General features: G+C 40.7%; 1 non-coding gene across 1 annotated transcript, besides 2 other annotated features; it reads right to left on the bottom strand.

Moving 5' to 3' along the window:
• Positions 857–936: an enhancer, noted in NCBI's record as "active region_3070". NCBI's record gives its function as "activates an Ori minimal core promoter by ATAC-STARR-seq in GM12878 lymphoblastoid cells {active_cell/tissue: GM12878}" and the evidence as "EXISTENCE:reporter gene assay evidence [ECO:0000049][PMID:35858748]".
• Positions 9,349–9,849: an enhancer, noted in NCBI's record as "H3K4me1 hESC enhancer chr10:14489756-14490256 (GRCh37/hg19 assembly coordinates)". NCBI's record gives its function as "activates a minimal SCP1, AML or CMV promoter by ChIP-STARR-seq in primed H9 embryonic stem cells {active_cell/tissue: H9 hESC(primed)}" and the evidence as "EXISTENCE:reporter gene assay evidence [ECO:0000049][PMID:30033119]".
• MIR1265 (microRNA 1265) lies at positions 20,945–21,030 on the bottom strand. The gene has a single exon (NR_031668.1). It is a non-coding gene; the product is annotated as a microRNA 1265 (primary transcript).
• Positions 21,031–21,314: the final 284 nt, after the last annotated feature.

Here is a 21,314-nt window from a genome sequence, read left to right as displayed (position 1 = left end):
CCTGTGGCTGTGGCACTGTTACCTGGGTTGCTTCAGAGGTCAGCATTTTCCCTGCTTCTGAGCCAGGCTCTGTGCCAGGAGCTGGGGTTCAGAGATGGACAGGACAAACACAGTTCCTGTCCTCAGAGGGCTGACAGTCTAGCAGGGGGATATAGAACATTAAAATAGCCATGAAACTAACCCACACCCCCCAGCTAAAACCATTGAATACCTTAATTACATCCTATGTATTAGGTTGGTGCAAAAGTAATTGTAGTTTTTGCCATTACATTTAATGGCATTACTTTTAGGTTCTGTGAAGGACCAAAGAAGGTTAAAATAAAGAGGGAGAGGTGGGAGAGGAAGAGAGAGTGACTTATTTTAAGGAATGAGGTTATATGGCTCTGGAAGCTGGCAAGTCCAAAATCTGCCGGGCAGACCAGCAGAAACTCAGGCAGGATTGGATGCTACAGTCTCGTGGCAGAATTTCTTCTTTTTCTGGAAAACTCAGACTTTTTAGAAGGTCTTCAACTGATTGGATGAGGCCCACCCACATTTAGAGGGTGATTTTTCTGCTTTACTCAAGGTTCACTGATTGTATTCTTCATATCTAAAAACACCTTCATAGCAACATCTTGACTGGTATGTGACTGAAACCTGGGTGCCACAGCCTAACCAGGTTGATGTATAAAGTTAATAATCATCATGCAGCAGGAGGAGTCATAGACAAAATCCTTCAGACACTGGATTGAGGAAGGAAAGAGCTTTATTCACCTGGGAGCATCGGCAGATTCATGTCCTAGAAACCAAGCTTCTTGAATAAGTAATTCCTGTCCCTTTTAAGGGCTCACAAGTTTAAAGGGGCTGCATGAAGTGGGGGTCATGGTCGATTGAGCAAGCGAGGGGTACGTGACTGGGGGCTGCATGTACCAGTAATCAGAACGAAACAGAAAAGAACAGAGAATTTCACAATGCTTCCTCATGCAGTGTCTAGAATCTATAGATACCACAAGCGGTGAGGGCAGGGGTTGACTTTTAATGACCAGGTCTGAAATGTGGTGCTGGGCTGTCTGACTGTGAATTTCACTTCTGCCTATTCTTTTAACTTCTACCTTTTCAGCAAACAAGAAATTAAGTATAAGACAATATGAGGAGTGGTCTCCTCTCTCAATCACAGGGTCTTAACTATAGACAAGGTGGGTGCAGGAGGTCTCTGTGGAAGGGGATGTTTATAGGGGGATTAAAAGGATGAGAAGGAGCCAGCCATGGGACAGAGGGAGAAGTCCCCTGGGAGTGGAGGCAGAGAACTTGAAGTTGTGTGTCTGGACTACAGTGAGAGAGAAGAAATGGGGTTGGAGAGAGAGCCAGGAGCTGGCTCACACAGGACTTACTTGTCAGGACCCTAAGTCTGGATTGCATCCCAAGTTCACAGGACACCCCTGGAGGGTTTTAAGTGCAGGAGTGCTGTGAGCTTATTTAATCCGTAGAGAACCCATCTTTCTGCTCTTTGGCGAGTAGAGTCAGAGTGGGAGGAAGGCCAGAATCAGGATGAAGCAGCTGAAAAACTCAAGGCAACACAAAAAGCTGGGTCATCAAAATTGATAATACTTTAATGTAAAATTTTAGAAATAAGATTAATGCAATAAAAAATTCCCGATGAGCCAAATATCAAAATTTTAAATAAAAACAAGATCTGACAGTGCCGTACTGAGCCACACTGAGGCCTGACACACGAAGGAAGATGGGTGCCCTGTTATACTTGTTTTTATATATTTTTAATGGTCAATTTTTTTAGAACATTAAAGTAACTGAAAAATTTGGGGAAATGGGAAGGTAGGTGTATTAAAACTCATGTAATTATTTTACATCAAAATACTCAGAAAACGTATCCATTTCTCTTCTCAGAATTAACATCCATCAAACACACTTTCAATTACTTTGTATTCTGTGTTACAACTTACAACTTTCAATTAAAAAGAAGATAAGCAAAGAAGTAGATTTTGAATATGTTGTTAATGTGTTTGCTTTCATTATATCCAGGAAAGTAAAATTATAGCAAATTCTTTTGGGGGTATAAATAAAATATTTACACTTAAAATAACATTGTGATTTTTAATACCTTGTTCAATTGTTTCAATATTTTGAATTATTTTTATGCTATGAAAAACATGTTTAAATTATATGTTAAAAGCCCGTATATAGGCTGGGCACAGTGACTCACACCTGTAATCCAGCACTTTGGGAGGCCAAAGCAAGTGAATTACCTGAGGCCAGGAGTTCAAAACCAGACTGGCCAACATGGCGAAACCCCGTCTCCACTAAAAATAAAAAAATTAGCCAGGCCTGGTGGCGCAAGCCTGTAATCCCAGCTTCTTGGGAGGCTGAGGTGGGAGAATCGCTTGATCCTGGGAGGTGGAGTTTGCAATGAGCTGAGATCATGCCACTGCACTCCAGCCCGGGGGACAGAGCGAGGGTCTGTCTCAAAAAAAAAAAAAAAAAAAAAAAAAAAGGAAAAAAGCCTGTAAACAGACGTGCACAGTTTTCCTTTAGCCTCTGCAAACATCGTAACTTGGCATGGCACTGTTGTGTCCTGTCTTTATGTAAAATTTTTGTTTTGTTTATCACGGATATATTTGTGCTAACTTAGATTTTAAAAAAAACTATTGCATTAAAATATTATTTATGTCGATTGCTGAGTGGTTTTGCAACCTTTCATATTTTGCCTGTGAGGTGAGCACCTTACTAGCTCTGGCCTGCAGGGGAGGGGAGGTTCTTGAACAGCCTCTGTAGCAGCCCAGGTGAGAGAGATGGCGGCTTGGGCCAGGTGTTGGAAGTGGAGCTGCGGAAGGCTTTGAAGGGGGCAAATCCGTCTCACCATGTCGGTGGCGGCATTAGCATTACTTCTTGCTATGAGGATACTGATGTGCCGGTTCTTACTCTTCGCTTTCTGCAGCAAGGAGAAAGGATGTCATTTTGCTTTCGTGTTACAGTTTCATGAAAGCTGACTTTTGATATCCCATATTCATTTTTCACTTAGGCCAAGTCTTTACACCCATAAAGTCAGCAATTTTCTTTTAACAATTCGGATATTGAAGTAGGGAGGAAACGTAGTCTCTAGGAGATTCTCTTTCATAGTCAGGCTGTGTGGACCGAATAAATGCGGTGCCAGAGGCCTCTGATCATAATCACGCCAAGGAAATAATCCATTCCATTAAGAAGCCCGGCGCCATAAATAAACCAACATGCCGCTGTAGGCTTACAGGACTGTGTCCCATCTGAGACTCAAATGTGGATGTAAACTCAGCCCGTGGTGATTACTACGAGCGTCTGATGAGTGATTTTTATGAAGTCTTCTAAGATGTAAGAGTGATGGGCGAGGGGAGTACAGTAATGATCCTCTGTGCAGAGTTCCCATGGATATGGTCATTTTGACATGGATTGGTAAATTTTCTGGGTGATGAGGTTTTTTTTTTTTTCTGAATATCTCATTAATTTTTTTCCTTTCATTTTCCTTTTCTGATTTTTTTAAAGGAAGCTGATTTTAGTTGAAATGACACGCTCCTGTGGAAAGAGCATGTGCAAATTATCTTTTGTTGGAAACGAAAGGGCATGACATGAATACTTTTCCTCCGAAGGGTTTCAGAGAATGCATTCAGTCTTCTGGACAGAGAAATAATTGGCTCCAATTAACTATGCAAGGAGGATTCAAATGTAATTTTAAAAGCAAGTGTCTTTTGGGTAGCTTACTTTCCAGGCACAGGTGGGTTACGGCTTCCAGGTTTCGCCTCTCCCCAGCTGCTGCTTATCGGTCTGAGACACTTACAGAATCCGAAGTAGGGAGGGGTGGAATTTCAGACCCAGAAAGGGAGTTTTCAAATCAACTGTGACTTTGTCCTTGGATACATTCACTCTGCTTTGGGAGTCAGTTTGGAGCTAAGGACCATACATTCCTCAGGGCTACTGCTTCTCAGGAGAACTGGTAACAGAAATCCTATCTTTTCTTTATTACATTTATTTAACAAATGCTTGTCACCTGCCCATGATATGCCAGGCACGGGGTCAGGCTGCAGGTGTGAGACAAGGAATCTTTCAAACACCTGTGGGTTGGAAACTTAAGGAAGTAGTTTTTGAGTGGATCTAGTGGGACGATTTGTCACGATCATGCCCCCAGGCCCAGGCCAGCTAATGGCTGCAGTCTGCTCTCTCCTTGTGGGACTGGGGCACGTTGGCCACTCTGTGCTCTGCAGTGGGGCCTATCTGCCACCCACCCATTTCCCTGAACAGTCACTGGATCCCAGCTCACGAAAGAAGGACGTCCTTACTTCTCTTCCAGCTGCACCTCCGAAACAGAAGAGGTAATCTGTTATCTGTGAGAAGGAAGAAGACCTTGCCAAAATGAAGCTACTCTCTCGGCCGTTTGCCTCCTTTTCAGAAATGTCTGGTCCTTTACTCATTTTTTTTTTCACTTTTCTTCTTTTTTTTTAAATTTTATTTTACTTTAAGTTCTGGGATACATGTGCAGAATATGCAGGTTTGTTACATAGGTATACATGTGCCATAGTGGTTTGCTGCACCTATCAACCTGTCATCTAGGTTTTAAGCCCCACATGCATTAGGTATTTGTCCTAATGCTCTCCCTTGCCTTGCCCCCAACTCCGGTGTGTGTTGTCCCCCTCCCTGTGTCCGTGTGTTCTCATTGTTCAACTCCCACTTATGAGTGAGAACACGTGGTGTTTGGTTTTCTGTTCCTGTGTTAGTTTGCTGAGAATGATGGTTTCCAGCTACATCCATGTCCTTGCAAAGGACATGAACTCATTATTTTTTATGGCTGCATAGTATTCCATGGTATATATATGTCACATTTTCTTTATCCAGTCTATCATTGATGGGCTTTTAAAAAAATTTCTAATCTTTAATTTTTTTGGGTGCATAGTAGGTGTATATATTTATGAGGTGTGTGAGATGTTTTGATACAGGCATGCAATGCATAATAATCATGTCATGGAGGGTGGGTGTTCCTTCCCTCAAGCATTTGTCCTTTGTTTATTACAGATAATCCAATTACACTCTTTTAGTTATTTTAATAAAATGTACAATTAACTTATTATTGACTATAGTCACCCTGTTGTGCTGTCAAATACTAGGTCTTATTGATTCTATTTTTTTTTTGTACCCATTAAGCATCCCCACCTCCCCCATCCCCATTACCCTTCCCAGCCCATGGTAACCATCCTTGTACTCTCTATCTCCATGTGTTCAATTGTTTTTATTTTTAAATTCCACAAATAAGTGAGAACGTGCGATGTTTGTCTTTCTGTGCCTGGCCTGCTTCACTTAACATCATGACCTCTGGTTCCATTCATGTCGTTGCAAATGACTGAATCTCATTCTTTTTTATGGTTGAATAGTACTCCATTGTGTATAAGGACCCACAGTTTCTTTATTTATTCATCTGTTACTAGATGAATCAATAATGGTTGCTTCCAAATCTTGGCGATTGTCAATAGAGCTTCAACAAACACAGGAGTGCAGAGATCTCTTTTATATATTGATTTCCTTTCTTTTGGGTATATACTCCATAGTGGGATTGCTGGATCATATGGTAACTCTTTTTTTAGTTTTTAGAGGAACTTCGTTCATTTTTTTAATTTGGCTATTTGTGGGATTTTTTTTTTTTTCTTGCCATTGAGTTGTATGAGAATTTGAGTTGTATGAGAATTTTTTCAATTGAGTTGTGTAAGAATTTCCATGCAGCTCTTCCAGGGAGCCTTATATTTTAAATATTAACCCCTATATTAATCTGTTTTCACACTGCTGATAAAGACATACCTGAGACTGGGAAGAAAAAGAGGTTTAATTGGACTTACAGTTCCACATGGCTGGGGAGGCGTCAGAATCACGGCCGAAGGCAGAAGGCACTTCTTACATGGTGGTGGCAAGACAGAAAGAGGAGGAGAGGAGGCAAAAGCAGAAACCCCTGATAAACCCATCAGATCTCATGAGACGTATCCACTATCATGAGAATAGCACAGGAAAGGCCGGCCTCTATGATTCATTTACCTCCCCCTTGGGTCCCTCTCACAACATGTGGGAATTTTGGGAGATACAATTCAAGTGAGGATTTTGATGGGGACACAGCCAAACCATATCAACCCCTTATCAGATACGTGGTTTGCAAATATTCTCTCCCATTCTGTAGGTTGCCTTTTCACTCTGTTGATGGTTTCCTTTGCTGTGCAGAAGTGTTCTCATTTGATGTAGCCTCAGTTCTCTATTTGTGCTTTTGTTGCCCGTGTTTTTGGTGCCATATCCAAAAAAATTATTGCCAAGGCTGAAGTCAAAAAGCTTTTTCTTCTGTTTTCTTGTAGTAATCTTATAGTTTTTGTGCTTGCATTTAAGTCATTAGTCCATTTTGATTTGTTGCTTGTATATGTTGAGAGGTAGGGATTTAGTTTCATTCTTCTGTATGTGAATATCCAGTTTTCCCAGCATCATTTTTTGAAGAGACTGTGCTTTCTCCACAACCTTTCCAACATCTGTTATTTTTTGACTTTTTCATAATTGCCATTCTGACTGGTGTCAGACAGTGTCTTATTGTGGTTTTGGTTTGTATTTCTCTAATGATCAGTGATGTTGAGCGTTTTTTTCATATACTTGTTGGCCATGTATATCCAAAGAGCATTTCTATTGTGAAGGAGGCAAAAACAGGGAGGCACTCTAGACATGGACCTTCATTCATACTGGGAGTAGTTTAGAAAGTCCTGGGCACACGGTTGCCTCCTCTTCAGGTTACCTCTCCAGCTCATTGGGAAACATAGTGGCGGGACGACTTCCGCTGATTCTGAAGTCACTGTGGCCATCTTTCCCAGGAGGCCCCAGCCTGAAGATTTGACCTTTAATAGATGAGTGATTTACAAAGCAAGGGCTTTGTCAAGGTCACCCAGCAGAGGATGCGGCAGAGCCCAGACAGGGGAACTCAGTGCCTTGATTGAAGTTCACTTTCCTCTCACCACGTGACACAGAAAGTAGCTCAGCAGAGTAGAAGTACCTGAGCAGAGTAGAAGTACACAAGGCTGAGGGGCCTTGTGTTTGTCCCAGCAGAGCCACCAACTCCCTGTGAGGCCTCGGGCAGCATCTCCTGGCATCAGTTTCCTTTAGAATTTCAAGTGGTAAACATGCGGCATCTGCATGCCTGGCCTAGAAGCAGTGATTCATTCTTCACTAATTCAGCAGTTGCAGTGACTTTGTAGAACGTAAGTACTGCTGATAACCAAAAGTAGACTGTACTTTAAAATGCCAAGCTGGCCTGGGGCCCTGCCAGCTGCCCTCTGTCAGCCTAGAAAGGCATGGAAGGAAAAGAGTTTGTCAGGCCCTTGACTTGTGACCCTGACAGTGCCAGCAGGACCTGAGGACCTCTGTGATCCTTCTGCATGGTGGGCAGGGCCAGCCCTGGCTGAGGGAGAAGCGCTGACCATACTGCCAGGCAGGAGAGTGGCTCTGCTTGCTGGAGAGTGGAAAGTCTCATTCCTTTCTGAAGAATTTCCACTCAGCTCTTCCAGGGAGGCCTCAGCTGAATCAGAGGGACCCATTTCTGTTCACGTGGTCAGAATGCCATATCCAGAAACACCTCTGAATTCGACTTTCTTTTCTCTTCCTTTACGGGAATGAAGTGTGACCATTTGATCGTTAAATGTCATGGTGTGTGTGTATGTATGTATTTGTGCATATGTATATGTGGATGTATATGTGTGTGTATTCGTGTATGTCTGCATGTGTGTGTACTGTGCATGTGTGTGTTTATGTGTATCTGTGCATGAACATGCATTCACATGTTTTACCTGTGTGTGCATGTGTTGTGTGTACATATGTGTATTTGCATGTGCATGCATGTACATGTGTATATTGTATACAAGTGTATGTGTGTATGTATGTGTGTGTTTATGTGTGTGCTTATGCATGTATATGTGTATATTGTGTGTGCACATGTGTGAGTGTGCACATGGTTGTGTGCACATGTGTGTATGCATGTGTATGCATGCATGCATGTACACGAGAATGTTGTATGCAACTATGTGTGTGTTTATGTGTGTGCACATGTGTAGGTGTTTGTGTGCATGCATGTACATGTGTATTGTGTGCACATGTGTGTGGTTGTAATTGTATGTGTACACACATGTATGTGCATGTGTATATTGTCTGTGTATGTGTGGTTGTGTATGTGGTTGTATGTGTGCCCACATGTGTATGAATGTGCATGTGTCTATTGTTTGCACGTGTGTACGTGTGGCTGTGTGTGTACATGGTTGTATGGGTGCCCACATGTGCATGTATGTGTATATTGTGTGAACGTATGTGTGGTTGTGTACATGGTTGCATGTGTGCCCACATGTGTATGTGTGTGCAGGTGTCTATTGTGTGCACGTGTGTATGGGTGGTTCTGTATATATATGGTTGTATATGTGCCCACATGGGTATATGCGTGCATGTGTCTATTGTGTGCACGTGTGTATGTGTGTGTGGTTTTATGTATATGCACATGTATGTGCATGTTGGAGGTGGCATGTTAGGGTGGAAGGGGAAGGTAACCAGCAAATGTGGAGAGTTTAAAGGCAGAAGAGAAACATGGACTTCCTGAGTGAGGCAGCTCCCACAGCTGGGACTGAGTTAAAAGCTGGTGTCATGATCCTTTCACATCCCAGCATTTGCACCACCACCCAGATGGCTCTCAGCCATCAAAAGGAGAGAGCCACCTCCCCTGCCCTTCCTGCCCCTCTCCTCCAGCTGATCGTCCCTCTCCTTTCTTCCTGTCTCCCTCTCCTCCCTCCCTCTCCTCCTTCCTTGCCGGTGCTGCTTTCTCTCACTGTCCTTCCCTTCTCCCGCCTTGGCTGCGACTGGATTTCTTTGTAGCTAACTGTTCCTGGCTTTAAAGCCAGCTTCTGTTATACGTCCCCACCCTGTGCTCAGCTCACATCCTATTTCCTTTGTAGAGAACGTGAAACCCAGTAGGGAACCCCAGGCCTCCCTGATCCCCTTCCCTCTCTTGCTTCTAGGACCTGTTGCTGAAAGCCAAATGCACAGAAGAAAGTGGGTGACAAATGGTGATACAAGACAACGAGCACCTGCAGTGTCCTCACGGGGAAGAGCAGGGAGGGTGGGTGTCAGAGAAGGCCCTGCAGGAGCACCTGCAACATGGCACCATGGGCCAAGCACAGGGACTGGGGACCTGTTGAGGACAGCTGTGGGCAGGGGCTTGCCCAGCCAGGCCCTGCTGCTATGGTGGACTTGGACCTCCCTGAAGGTGTCGCCTGCAGCAGCAGACCACGGTGGGGACAAATGAGAGGACACCTGCTTCAATACCACAGTGTGAGAGAGTCCGGTAGGGCATCGAGTTCTGATGTCCCTTCTTTCAGCAGTAACAGGACAGACTGGCAGAAGAGGGCCTCGGGCTCGGATGCCATAATGGGTGATGGAGTCAGCCAACATTGCTCCTTCAGTGTGCATGCCCTTGTTCATTTGCTTATTCACGACAGATGGTCCCTGGGTGCCGACTGGGTGGCAGGAGCCGTTCTAGCTGCTGGGGACCCTTGACTCCCCCTGACTGAGCCACCTGGGCATTGCCAACTGGCCTTGGAGAAAGTGACTTCATGTTGGGGGCCAACAAAAGACCGTACCATTTGGGGTCCAGACCGATTACTTGGAAAGCTCCTGGCTCCCTCCCTCTGACCTTCAGCAGCTTCAAGGTCAGGAGTGGTTTTTGGGCTGCCAGGGCTTTAGATGTGGCCACCTGTCCCCACTTGCCAGGCAAGGGACTGAGCTGACTGTCCCCAGATCCTCATGTTCAGGCCAGAGTTACTCAACTTCTAATCATTTTATTAGTTAACAATTTGTGAGACTTTATTATGCAAAGAGTTTGATGGCTAAAACAATGAAAAACCCACTGTCCTACTGAATCAGCCTCTGATTAGGCAGGCGGTGAATGTGATTTTCTAACCCCGGTTCAAAGTCTAACCTGTGGCAAATCAATTCCTTATTACTGCCTCACGTATTTTATCTGGGGAAGAAGGGTAACAATGATTAACAGCTTGCCTAGGTATCTATTTATATATTCAGAATAATTTGAAAAACAATGAGTTATTATATACTCATTTCTTCTTTCTCACAGTTACAGTAACAATGGACAAAACAGTGTTTAGTTTTTGGAAGAAAGAAGCAAAGCGCTTCTAAATGGCTGATTTCTGCGTAGTAATAGCCTAGCTCCCAGAACACGTTTGTCTCTAGCACAGCCATATTATCTTTAAAAAGCCCGTGTACATTTGGGCCTCCCACATATCAATAATTAAACGGCATCATGGAATAAATATTGCAGCAGCCTCCTCTCTCCCTCTTCCTTTCCACATGGGCACTTTGACATTTTGTGCTGCCAGATTGCCTGACAAATTTGTTTACCACTGAGAAATAAATTGCCTTTCTAACCCAAAGCGGTGCCCAAACAGTGTCCACTCTTGTAAGAAGACGTAAAAGATATACTTTGATTAAAAGAAAATGTCAACAAGGGGAAATACTGAGCTTTCTTCTTGACTGCAGCCAGGAGCCCTAAAGCAAAGGTTGATACAATGAGAAATTAAAAGTGGTGCACAGAAAAAGCCCCCAAGCCTCCTATCACTTTATAACACAACATTTTCTGGTATATTTTTCACAGAAGTAAAAATTGTTGATGCATGTACCTAAATTCCCTGGCTATTCATTTCTTCATTTTTTGTATTTTTCTTTCTAAATTTAAAAATGATTATGACCTAATTTGTATGTAAAAAAGATTTATATTATATATTTATATTTAAGGTGTGAAGAATGATTGACAGCCATATACTTACTATTCCGTTTAAGGATATTGCTAGTACTTTATGTTCATATTCTCTTCCTTTATCCCCAGAGATAAACAATATTCTAATTTTTATGCTTATCATTCCCTTGCTTTTTATTATAGTTTTAGTACATAAGTATATATTCTTAGATAGTTTAGTTTTTGTGTATTTTTTATGCTTATTTTAATAGTATAAGTATAAATCCTTAGGTAGTTTAATTTTTGTTTATTTTTGATGCTTATATTAATAGTATACTGCTTTTATTCTGTGACTTTTAAAAAAAATTTCATGTTTTGGCTGGGTGCAGTGGGTCACGCCTGTAATCCCAGCAGTTTGGGAGGCTGAGGCAGGTGGATCACGAGGTCAAGAGATGGAGACCATCCTGGCCAACATGGTGAAACCCCGTCTCAACTAAAAATACAAAAAAAATTAGCCAGGTGTGGTGGCACACACCTGTAGTCCCAGCTACTTGAGAGGCTGAGGCAGGAGAATTGCTTGAACCCAGGAGGTAGAGGTTGCAGTGAGCCAAGATTGCACCACTGCACTCCAGGCTGTGTGACAGAGCAAGACTCCATCTCAAAAATAAATAAATAAATAAATACATACATAAAAGAAAAAAATTCATGTTTAAGAAATGTATGCTTAATAAAATCTATTAGTGTATGTAATTGTAATTAGTGACTTTTAATTGTTCTGCAATAGTCTATAGACTTACTGGTGTCTTTTTTTTTTTTTTTTTTTGGCATTATAAATAATGTGGTCATGAACATTCTTGAGGATGCTCCCTGGTGCTCTAGTGCAAGATTTTTTTGAGGGTGTTCCCTGGGAGCGGAACTGCAGAGTCACGGAGATGTGCATCTATGACTTAACTAGATCATGTCAAATTACTTTCCAAAATGGTTGTAACACTTTATGCTCTCAACTGAGTGTGTAAGAGCTCCCCTTGTGCCACAACCTCACCAACACTTAGTATCTTTTTAACTTAAAAATTTTTTGTCTCTCTCATGTTGTGGTGTTAGCATTTAGTGCCCCACGATTGAAACTGAATATCTTTTGTCATCAGCTATTCCCCACTTGTGATTTCATTTCGAGGAAAATGTCTTCTCATCTTTTTTTGTCCATTTTTCTATTAGTTATCACTTTCTTAATATGCTGGGTGCTCATCTTTTTCTGGTATATATGTTACATGTCTTCTGGTTTGGGGCTTGGTTTTTAACATCTTTAGATTGTTTAGTGAAAGAAAGTTCTTAGTTATAATGCTGAAATCCTCAGTGTTTACTTTATAGCTCATTCTTCATGCATTTTTGTGCCAGAATGCCTTTCTCACCCCAAGCTATGAAGATACTGGCATATAAAAATTCTAAAATTTTGCTTTTTTCAGCTAATTCTTAATTCCACTGGGAATCAATTTTTGTGTATATTGTGAAGTATAAGTCAAATGTTATTCCTCGGATGAATAACAGGTGTTTCATCATCAGTTTTTGAATAGTCCATTCTCTCCTGGTGTCTGCAATATTATGTCTGGGCTTGCTTTTATATTAAAGATTTTTTTCCCCTTCACACCCAGGTGCAGAGGGTGAAGTTAATCATCATGGAACTCAGTTAATGGCGCTGATTATTTTTGTCTCATGCAAGCACCTCAGTTATCTTCTCTCTTCTAACCTTCCTTTATTCCTTCTTCCTTTTATTTCCATTTCCCAACACAATTTTCCTCTGCTTCCAATAGGCAATCTTCCTAAAGTATCTAATGTGTATTCTTTTGCTTTATTTGGTATGTGTTCTTTACATACACACACGTACATACAAATATTTATACATATAAAATCAGTTTTATTGAGCCATGATTTACATATAATAAAAATCCATTCACTTATAGTTCATTATAAAAGAAGGAATGTGTTTTAAAATAACATAAGAATGTCTATTCTTACCTCCTCTAATCAATATAGTACCTAGCCAGTGTAACAAAACAAGAAAAAAAAAAAAAGGAATAGACTTGGGGGAGAAGAAAGAAAGCTCTTCTTTTCACAAATGGCATGATCTAATTCTAAAAAATCATTTTAAAAAAGGCTACTAGAACGAGGGGAATTTCTAGTAGTAAAATAAGAATAGATTTAACTTTATTTAAAATCATCAACATGTTTTACAAAGCAGTTATATAATGTATAGCAAAGAATGAGGATTCCAGTTTCTCTTCACCCTCACCAATGGAAGTATTTTCAATCTTTGTAATTTTTTTGATTCTAGTGGTGTGTCATATCTTTTTACAGTTTTAATTTGCGTTTCCTTGATGGCTGCTAATGTTGAATATTTTTTCATAGCCTGTGTTGGCCATACTTACGGTTGTAAGGTGTTTGTTTACATCTTTGGCCATTTGGGTTTTTACCAGTTGCTTTTCTTTTTTCTTAATAAATTATAAATGTTCATATATATTCTGCTAAAAATCTTTAATCAGATATATGTTTTGTAAATATTTTCTCAAAATATATGACTTGCCTATTTTTATTTATTTTAGAGACAGGGTTTTGCTCTGTCACCCAGGCTGGAGTGCAGTGGTGCAATCACAGCTCACTACAGCCTTGGCTTCCTGAGCTCAAGAAATCCTCTCACCTCAGTCTCCTGAGTAACTAGGACTTCAGGCATCCACCACCATGCTTGGATAATTTTTTCTGTTTTTCTTTTCCCTCTCTCTTTTTTTGTCATCTGGTGCAGAAACTGAATAATTTTTTCTTTTTAAAGTGTTTTTGTAGAGACATGGTCTCACCATATTGCCCAGGCTGGTCTCAAACTCCTGACCTCAAGTGATCCTCCCACATCGGCATCCTAATGAGCTGGGATTACAGGCATGAGCCACTGCACCTGGCCCTTATTTTTCAACAATGTTTTTCAAGGACAAAATGAAATCTTTTGATTTATCAAATCAAATTATCAAATTTCCCTTTGACGGTTTATGTTTCCGTGCTCTGATATATATATATGAGATATATATCATAATATATGACATATAATATATACGATGTCATATATTATAATCTGTATTAATCATATATGTATATATAAGACACCTGATGCCTTATATACATAGAAATATATATTATATATCATAATATATGACATCCTATATATTATATAATATATGTATATATACTAGTATATCTCATACATGTATATGTGTGTATATATATGATCCATCTTGAATTATTTTTTTAATAGGGTATGAGGTTGAGGTTGAGATTCACTTTTTTCTCATATGAATGTCCCATTGTTTGAGTTCCATTTGTTGAAAAAACATTTTTTCCCCCATTGAACGACTTCAGTTTCTTTGTTGAAAACTAATTGATCATATATGCATGGGTCTATTTCTATTCTGTTTTATTGATCAATATGTATATTCTGTTTGGGTGGACAGAAAGTTTAATTACCATAGCTTTATAGTAAGTTTTGAAATAATATTAAGCCCTCTAACATTTTTTTCTTCTCAAAGTTATTTTAGCTATAGTAGATCTCCACATTTCCTTGTAACTTTCAGAATCAACTTGAAAATTTCTACCAAAAATGTCTGCTAGGATTTTAACCACATTGTCTTTCCATCCATGAAATGATACATCTCTCCACTTATTTATGTTTTTTTAAATTTTTTTCTCAGCAAAATGTTTCAGATTTTAGTATAATTCACTTCCCAATTTTCAATTTTTTATTGCGACTATATATAAGTACACTGAATTTTTCTATGTTGATCTTGTATATTGTGGCCTTGCTATAAACTCCCTTATTTGTTCTAGTAGCCTTTTTAAAAATGGTTTTTTAGAATTAGATCATGCCATTTGTGAAAAGAAGAGCTTTCTTTCTTTTTCTCCAAGTCTATTCCTTTTTTTTTCTTGTTTTGTTACACTGGCTAGGTACAATATTGAATAGAGGTGGTAAGTATAGACATGTTATTTCTAAAACACATTCCTTCTTTTATAGTGAGTTATAATGTAAGCTGTAGATTTTTAGTAGATATATTTTATTAAGGTGAAGAAATTTCCTTCTTTTCCTATTTGGCAGAGGTTTGTGGTTTTCTTTCCGTGAACAGGTGCTAAATTTTGTCAAATGCTTATTCTGTATCTATTTGAGATGATCAAATGGCTTTTCTTTTTAAACTTGTTAATATGGTCAATTATAGATTTTTTTTCAAAAATGTTAAACCAATCTTCAACTCTTGGGACTATCTCACTTATTGATGATATATTATATTTTTTGTAAATTGCTTGGCATGGTTTGCTAAAATTTTGTTGCAGACTCATACAATTATGCTGCATTGGTCTTCTGTTCCTCCTGTAACAAGTTACCATAGTGCATTGAGTGGCTTGAAACAGTACAGTTGTTTTCTCTTATAGTTCTGGAGGTCAGAAGTCCAAATGCCATTTCAGTGGGATAAAGTCAAGGTATTGACCAGGCTGGTTCTTCTGGAGCTCAGAGGGGAAACTATTTCTTTAACTTTTCAAGTCTTGTGGCCCCTTCCTCCATCCTCAAAGCATGTCCCTCTAATCTCTGCTTTTGCCATCACATTACCTTATCTTCTAATTACCTCCTGCTTCCCACTTACAAGAACTGCTGTGGTTTCATCAGTTGTAACTGGATAACCCACCTCAAAATCCTTACTTTAATCACATCTGCAATATAAGGATTAACGTAACATTTACAGGTTCCGCCAATTAGAATGCAGACATACTGAGGGGCAGAGGGACATTTATTCTACCTACCATATATGTTCATGAGCTCTCTACTTGTCTTTTCTTGTAAGGTTTTACATAGTTTTGGTATCATGGTAGTGCTGACTTCATAAAACCAGTTGAGAATTGGTCTCCTATTTTCTCAAAGTGTGTATGTTGAACTGGTATAATTTCTGCTTTTTGGTTTGTTTGTTTGTTTTTTGTTTCATTTTGTTGTTGTTTGAGATGGAGTCTCGCTCTGTCGCCCAGGCAGGAGTGCAGTGGTGCGATCTCAATCTCCTCCTCCCAGGTTCAAGCAATTCTCACTGCTATCTCCACCACCCCGATTCAAGCAGTTCTCCTGCCTCAGCCTCCTGAGTGCCTGGGACTACAGGCCTGCACCACCACGCCTGGCTAATTTTTGTATTTTTTAGTAGAGACAGAGTTTTACCATGTTGGGCTGGGTGGTCTTGAACTCCTGATCTCAAGTGATCTGCCTGCCTTGGCCTCCCGAAGTGCTGGGATTACAGGCATGAACCACCACACCCGGCGGTAAAATTTCTCTCTTAATTGCTTGGCAGAATTCATCCCTGAAGCCACCTACCACTCCTCAGCAAAGTCTTTCCGGAAACAACAATCTACATCTGAGTTAAGTCCCCCTGTTATACTTTCTAAGATATCCTATGGCTTTTCCCTAGAGCACGCAACACAATTTATAATGATATGCATATTTGTATGATGATTTCTTTACTGTCTGTCTCTTTAACAAGGTAGAAGCAGAGAGCATGTCTATCTCTTTCACTAATGAATCCACAGCGTCTGTCTCTCTACCCGGCACATACTGGTTACTCAGTACTTATTTTTTTGAGTGAATGAATGAATGAGTGAATGAATGAATGCATTCCTGTCCCATGAGATACACCCGTAGTCTTCTAATAAATTCTCCTTTCCACCTTTTTTGTTTTATTTATTATTTGTTTTAGAATATATATATATTTTCTTATTATACTTTAAGTTCTAGGGTACGTGTGCACAATGTGCAGGCTTGTTACATATGTATACACGTGCCATGTTGGTGTGCTGCACCCATTAACCATTTACATTAGGTATATCTCCTAATCCTCCGTTTTTGATGACACTAGCCTAAGCTGGCTTCTCTGTTAGGTTGGTGCAAAGGTGCCATTACTTTTCATGGCAAAAGTCGCAATTACCTTTGCATCAACCTATAGTATCTGGAAGTGTCTTAGAGGTAGTCAGGGGAAGGCTGGTGCCTAGTGGAAGGGTGAGGTTGATAATATGTGTCCAGTTAAATCTAGGTGGTCAGGAGGCTTCAGTGGCCTGAGGAAGATGGGGGAATACCTGGGAAGAAGGGGTAGAGTCAAGTGCCCTCTGCTCCATTCACTCTACTCCATCCTCCCCAGACCACAGTGTCTGCCCTGGGGCTGCCCTCCCTGGCACAGCAAAGGCAAGGCCAAAGGAAGGAGGCATCAGACAGCTTGAGCAGGAAAGAGTAATACCTAGGGCCGAAGCAATTTGCAGCCTGGCTTCCTGTAGACATCCCCATCTCTTCCACCTTGCTTCTACAGGGCCATGTGGTGCCGCCTCTCTCACCCTAACTTGTCATCATCTCCTTTTCCTGAAGACAGATAGACACATGCACACATACACCCATGCACATTTCCAGCTGTGCAAGCACACCTTCAAATGCAATAGATTCAGTGGTGAGAAAGGAAGCCTCTTCCATTCATGTCACCTCAACTTATTAAAATATAAAGAAATGAGGATCAGCTCAGACAGAACTATTCTTTCCAATTTAATTTTTTCTCTGCAGGAATTCTCAAACTCCCGACCTCAAGTGATCCACCTGCCTCGGTCTCCCAAAGTGCTGGAATTACAGGTGTGAGCCACCACGCCCAGCTCAGTGGGAATTCATAGACAGCCTCAATTTCCTCAGCTTGGCTTGCTTAGGATGGTTTCGGTGTACACAGAGTGTCCCAGTGGTCCTTGCTATCACACCCGCCTGATTCATTGCTGTTGCTCTGGGATCAGCCACCAATTACCAAATCTTGAAAATTTGCAGGGAATTGAAAAAGCTCCAGAAAAGAAGCTCAGGGAAAATAAATGTGTCCTCAGATGCCCTTTGCTAACTCAGTCTGAGAAGTGTAGATTATGTTGTTTGAAATACTTTCCAGTCTTCTGGGAAGTGTCCCCTAGTGGAGTCTATGAAGGGAATAAAGTCTTTGTGTTGTCACACATTGCTCTGCTATTTATGAGATGACATAGATTTGAAATGAAAGACTTATTAAGTCCCGTGGTCCACTTTGCCAGGAAAGACTTCTTTCATTGTAGTACTTCGTTTAGCCTGTAGTATTTGTGCATTTTACCACCTATAAGAAGTCAGATGGAGCAGACTTGCCCTGGGTCAGAACCTAGTCCAGCTCATCCTTCGATCTGCAGGAAGCAGCTCATTCAGTAAAGGCAGCACCAGCAGATGCTTAACAGATGTTTGCTGAATGGAATTAAATTGATAGTTCATCTAAAGCCAAGTCTTTGGCATACTGAAGAATTTCTAGTTTGTTTATTGAATTAACACTTATTTTCTGTAATATATGAAGCACTGGGTGTTGCTTTTTTGATAACTTTTTAATATATGCATAAAACAGATTCATCCATCTTAAATAAATAAGATAAAGTACATGGTACAAGTTTATGCTTAATAAAGCACTTTATGCTGATCAGCTAAAAAATAGAATCAATTCTTCTTTAAAAATGAGAGTGAACTCTGTGTAAAGAATGTGACCCACACTCTGTTTTCGTCTCCTTGTTTTTTTCTAAAAGCAAGTCTTAATCGACCCCACAGGCAAACAAACAAAAAAGATGAATGAGAAACTGTAAAAAATACTGAACTTATAAAGTGCTCTTTATAATATAATATGACAAAGCTTGCAGAAGAATTTCAAAGGATATTAACAGGCTTCTCACAAAAGAGATGGAAATAAACAAGAGATTTCAGTTTTGTACTCTGCACACTTCTGTATCATCGCTTAAATTTTTATCAGCAGAAAAAATATTTCTTTTAAAAATAAATACATAAGAGCAGGCCATGTACAACATTTCTAGAAACAAATGTTATGGGCAATGCCTACATTTAGATTCGGTGGTCTCATTCTCAAGACTCATCGTAAAAGACATTGTTGTAAGGTGACTTCAGAGTGCAAGAGTTGTTGCTTTACACGTTTATTCATCTCTGGCAACTGTGAGGGAAGAAGTAGAGATCTCTATTTAGGCAACACTGAGTAAAGCATGTGGTCAAATAAAAAATTGCAGAAGCATCTGGGTGTGGTGGCTCATGTCTGTAATCTCAGCACTTTGGGAGGCTGAGGCGCGTGGATCACTTGAGGCCAGGTGTTCGAGACCAGCATGGCCAACATGGTGAAACCCCGTCTCCACTAAAAAAAAAAAAAAAAAAAAAATATATATATTAGCCAGGCATAGTGGTGCATGCCTGTAATCCCAGCTACTTGGGAGGCTGAGGCAGGAGAATCACTTGAACCCAGGAGGCAGAGGTTGCAGTGAGCTGAGATAGTGCCACTGTGCTCCAGCCTGGGCGACAGAATAAGACTCTGTCTCAAAATAATAAAAAATAAAAAATTGCAAAAGCAGAGACTTGCCCACATATTAAACATCCCAAAAGTGATTCAATGTTTATTTTAAAACTTTCTTGGTGTTATTATGATTACTTTTTTTTTTTTGAGATGGAGTCTCACCCTGTCACCCAGGCTGGAGTGCAGTGTCACGATCTTGGCTCATTGCCAAGCATGAGGCTGGTCTGAAACTCCTGACCTTAGGTGATCTGCCCACCTTGGCCTCCCAAAGTGCTGGGATTACAGGCCAAATTATTATTACTTTTAATGGCAAAAACTGCAATTACTTTTGTACCAACCTAATGCAACACAGCACCATCAGGTTTAAATAGAATTCCTTTCTTTGCATTAATGGCTTTCCTTAGAGTCTCTATTAAAAAAAACAAATAGCACAATAGCCTCAAGAACTGTAGCCTCACCACTCTTCTGAATTGCTTACCTCTTTGCTAATTAGAACTCAACTGGTTCCGTCTACAGCTTCATTTCTTTTCACCATACGGTGATTCCTTTTGAAATGTTTGCTGATATCTGGTCCTGTCTCTTGATTTTAGTTAGCAGTGCTTGGGAAATCCAAATCCTTCCATTACATTCTCAGGCCATACTACCTTTTAAATCGGTGTTCACATTTATTATTCTGCCATCATCTTGTTTTTATTTGCCAAAATAAATGTTGAAGGGCGGCCAGGTACGCTGCCTCATGCCTGTAATCCCAGTAGTCTGGGAGGCCAAGGTGGGAAGGTCACTTGAGGTCAGGAGTTCAAGACCAGCCTAAGCAACGTGGCGAAACCCTGTTTCTACTAAAAATACAAACATTAGCCAGGCGGTGGTGGCAGACGCCCGTAATCCCAGCCACTGAGGCAGGAGAATCACTTGAACCAGGGAGGCAGAGGTTGCAGTGAGTTGAGATCACACCACTGCACTGCAGCCTGGGCAACACAGTGAGACTCCATCTCAAGAAAGAAAGAGAAAGAAAGAAAGAAAGAAGGAAGGAAAGAAAAGAAAGAAAGAAAAAGAAGAAATGTTAGAGGGGAAAAAATGCCTTAGGGCATCACCACGCAGGGCCAGCTTCCTAGGCCAAACTCCCCAGCCTTCTTCGAACGTTCTGCTGTTGCCATCCTAACATTCTTAATACTTATTGAACAAGGGGCCCACATTTTCATTTTGTACTGGGTTCCTCAAGTTATGAAGCTATTCCTGTCACACCCCTGACCCCCATCCATTTCTGAGACAAGCAGAAAGCTGGAATTGGATGGAATGCTAGAAAAGCCAGCATCGATGTGGCGGAGAGCACAGCATAGATTTTTGCTGTGTTTGTTCATATTTGCTGAACATAGCATCTATGGCCGTACGTGAGGGATGTATGGGTCCCTCAAACTACCAGCTGTTATTCCTTAAAATATACCTGAGGTCTAAGTACATGTTCATGCAGCTTGAAAGCAAGAGAGAGAGAGATGCGTACAAAAGCGGGACAGGAAGCAGCCCAGAATGGTTCATGCGGCTGCACTTCTTTCAAACACTGGGACCCTACCAAGCAGAGTACAGTCAAATATTTCTCCTTACTTTGTGTTACATTCTGATATGTAGAAGTAAATTCTATCCATATGTTTCTGAATTATTTATACCTAACTCCTCAAAATATTATTCTTCAAGACCTTTGGAGGTCTAAAAAACTCTCGAAATGCATTTATATTTTCTTGACCCCTTTTTGTCGAACTCAAAAATAGAAAATGGAGGATTACACCAAATATGTGGAAAAAGTTGTAGAATATGGTTTGGAATTCAAAATGTGGTCAAGTATTGTTCCTGAACATGCCTTAACAACACTTGACCACATCCTGAGTCCCAAACCATAGGTCGATTAGCTAAAACACCAAATCAATAGACGTCTGCTCTCCTACCTCCCCCATCCTCCACCCCCCTGCAGCCCAGCTCTATCACTTCCAGCACAAACATGGCAGCTCCCTCTAACTCTGGTTGACTTGCAGTATGTGCAAACCGAGATAAAGCATTCCTTCAAGACAGCCTTCTCTCATAAAAACCTCAATGATGGATCTGAACAGAGAGAATAATATATGGTCTCTGATCATCGGGTGACAGGCAGCATGCATCCTATTTCTGCCTCTGGTGACATTGGG

This window comes from Homo sapiens, chromosome 10 (genome assembly GCF_000001405.40).
Source record: "Homo sapiens chromosome 10, GRCh38.p14 Primary Assembly".
Taxonomy (NCBI): domain Eukaryota; kingdom Metazoa; phylum Chordata; class Mammalia; order Primates; family Hominidae; genus Homo; species Homo sapiens.
The sequence above is the reverse complement of the archived record's forward strand: the minus strand, read 5'-3'. Positions and strand labels throughout refer to the sequence as shown.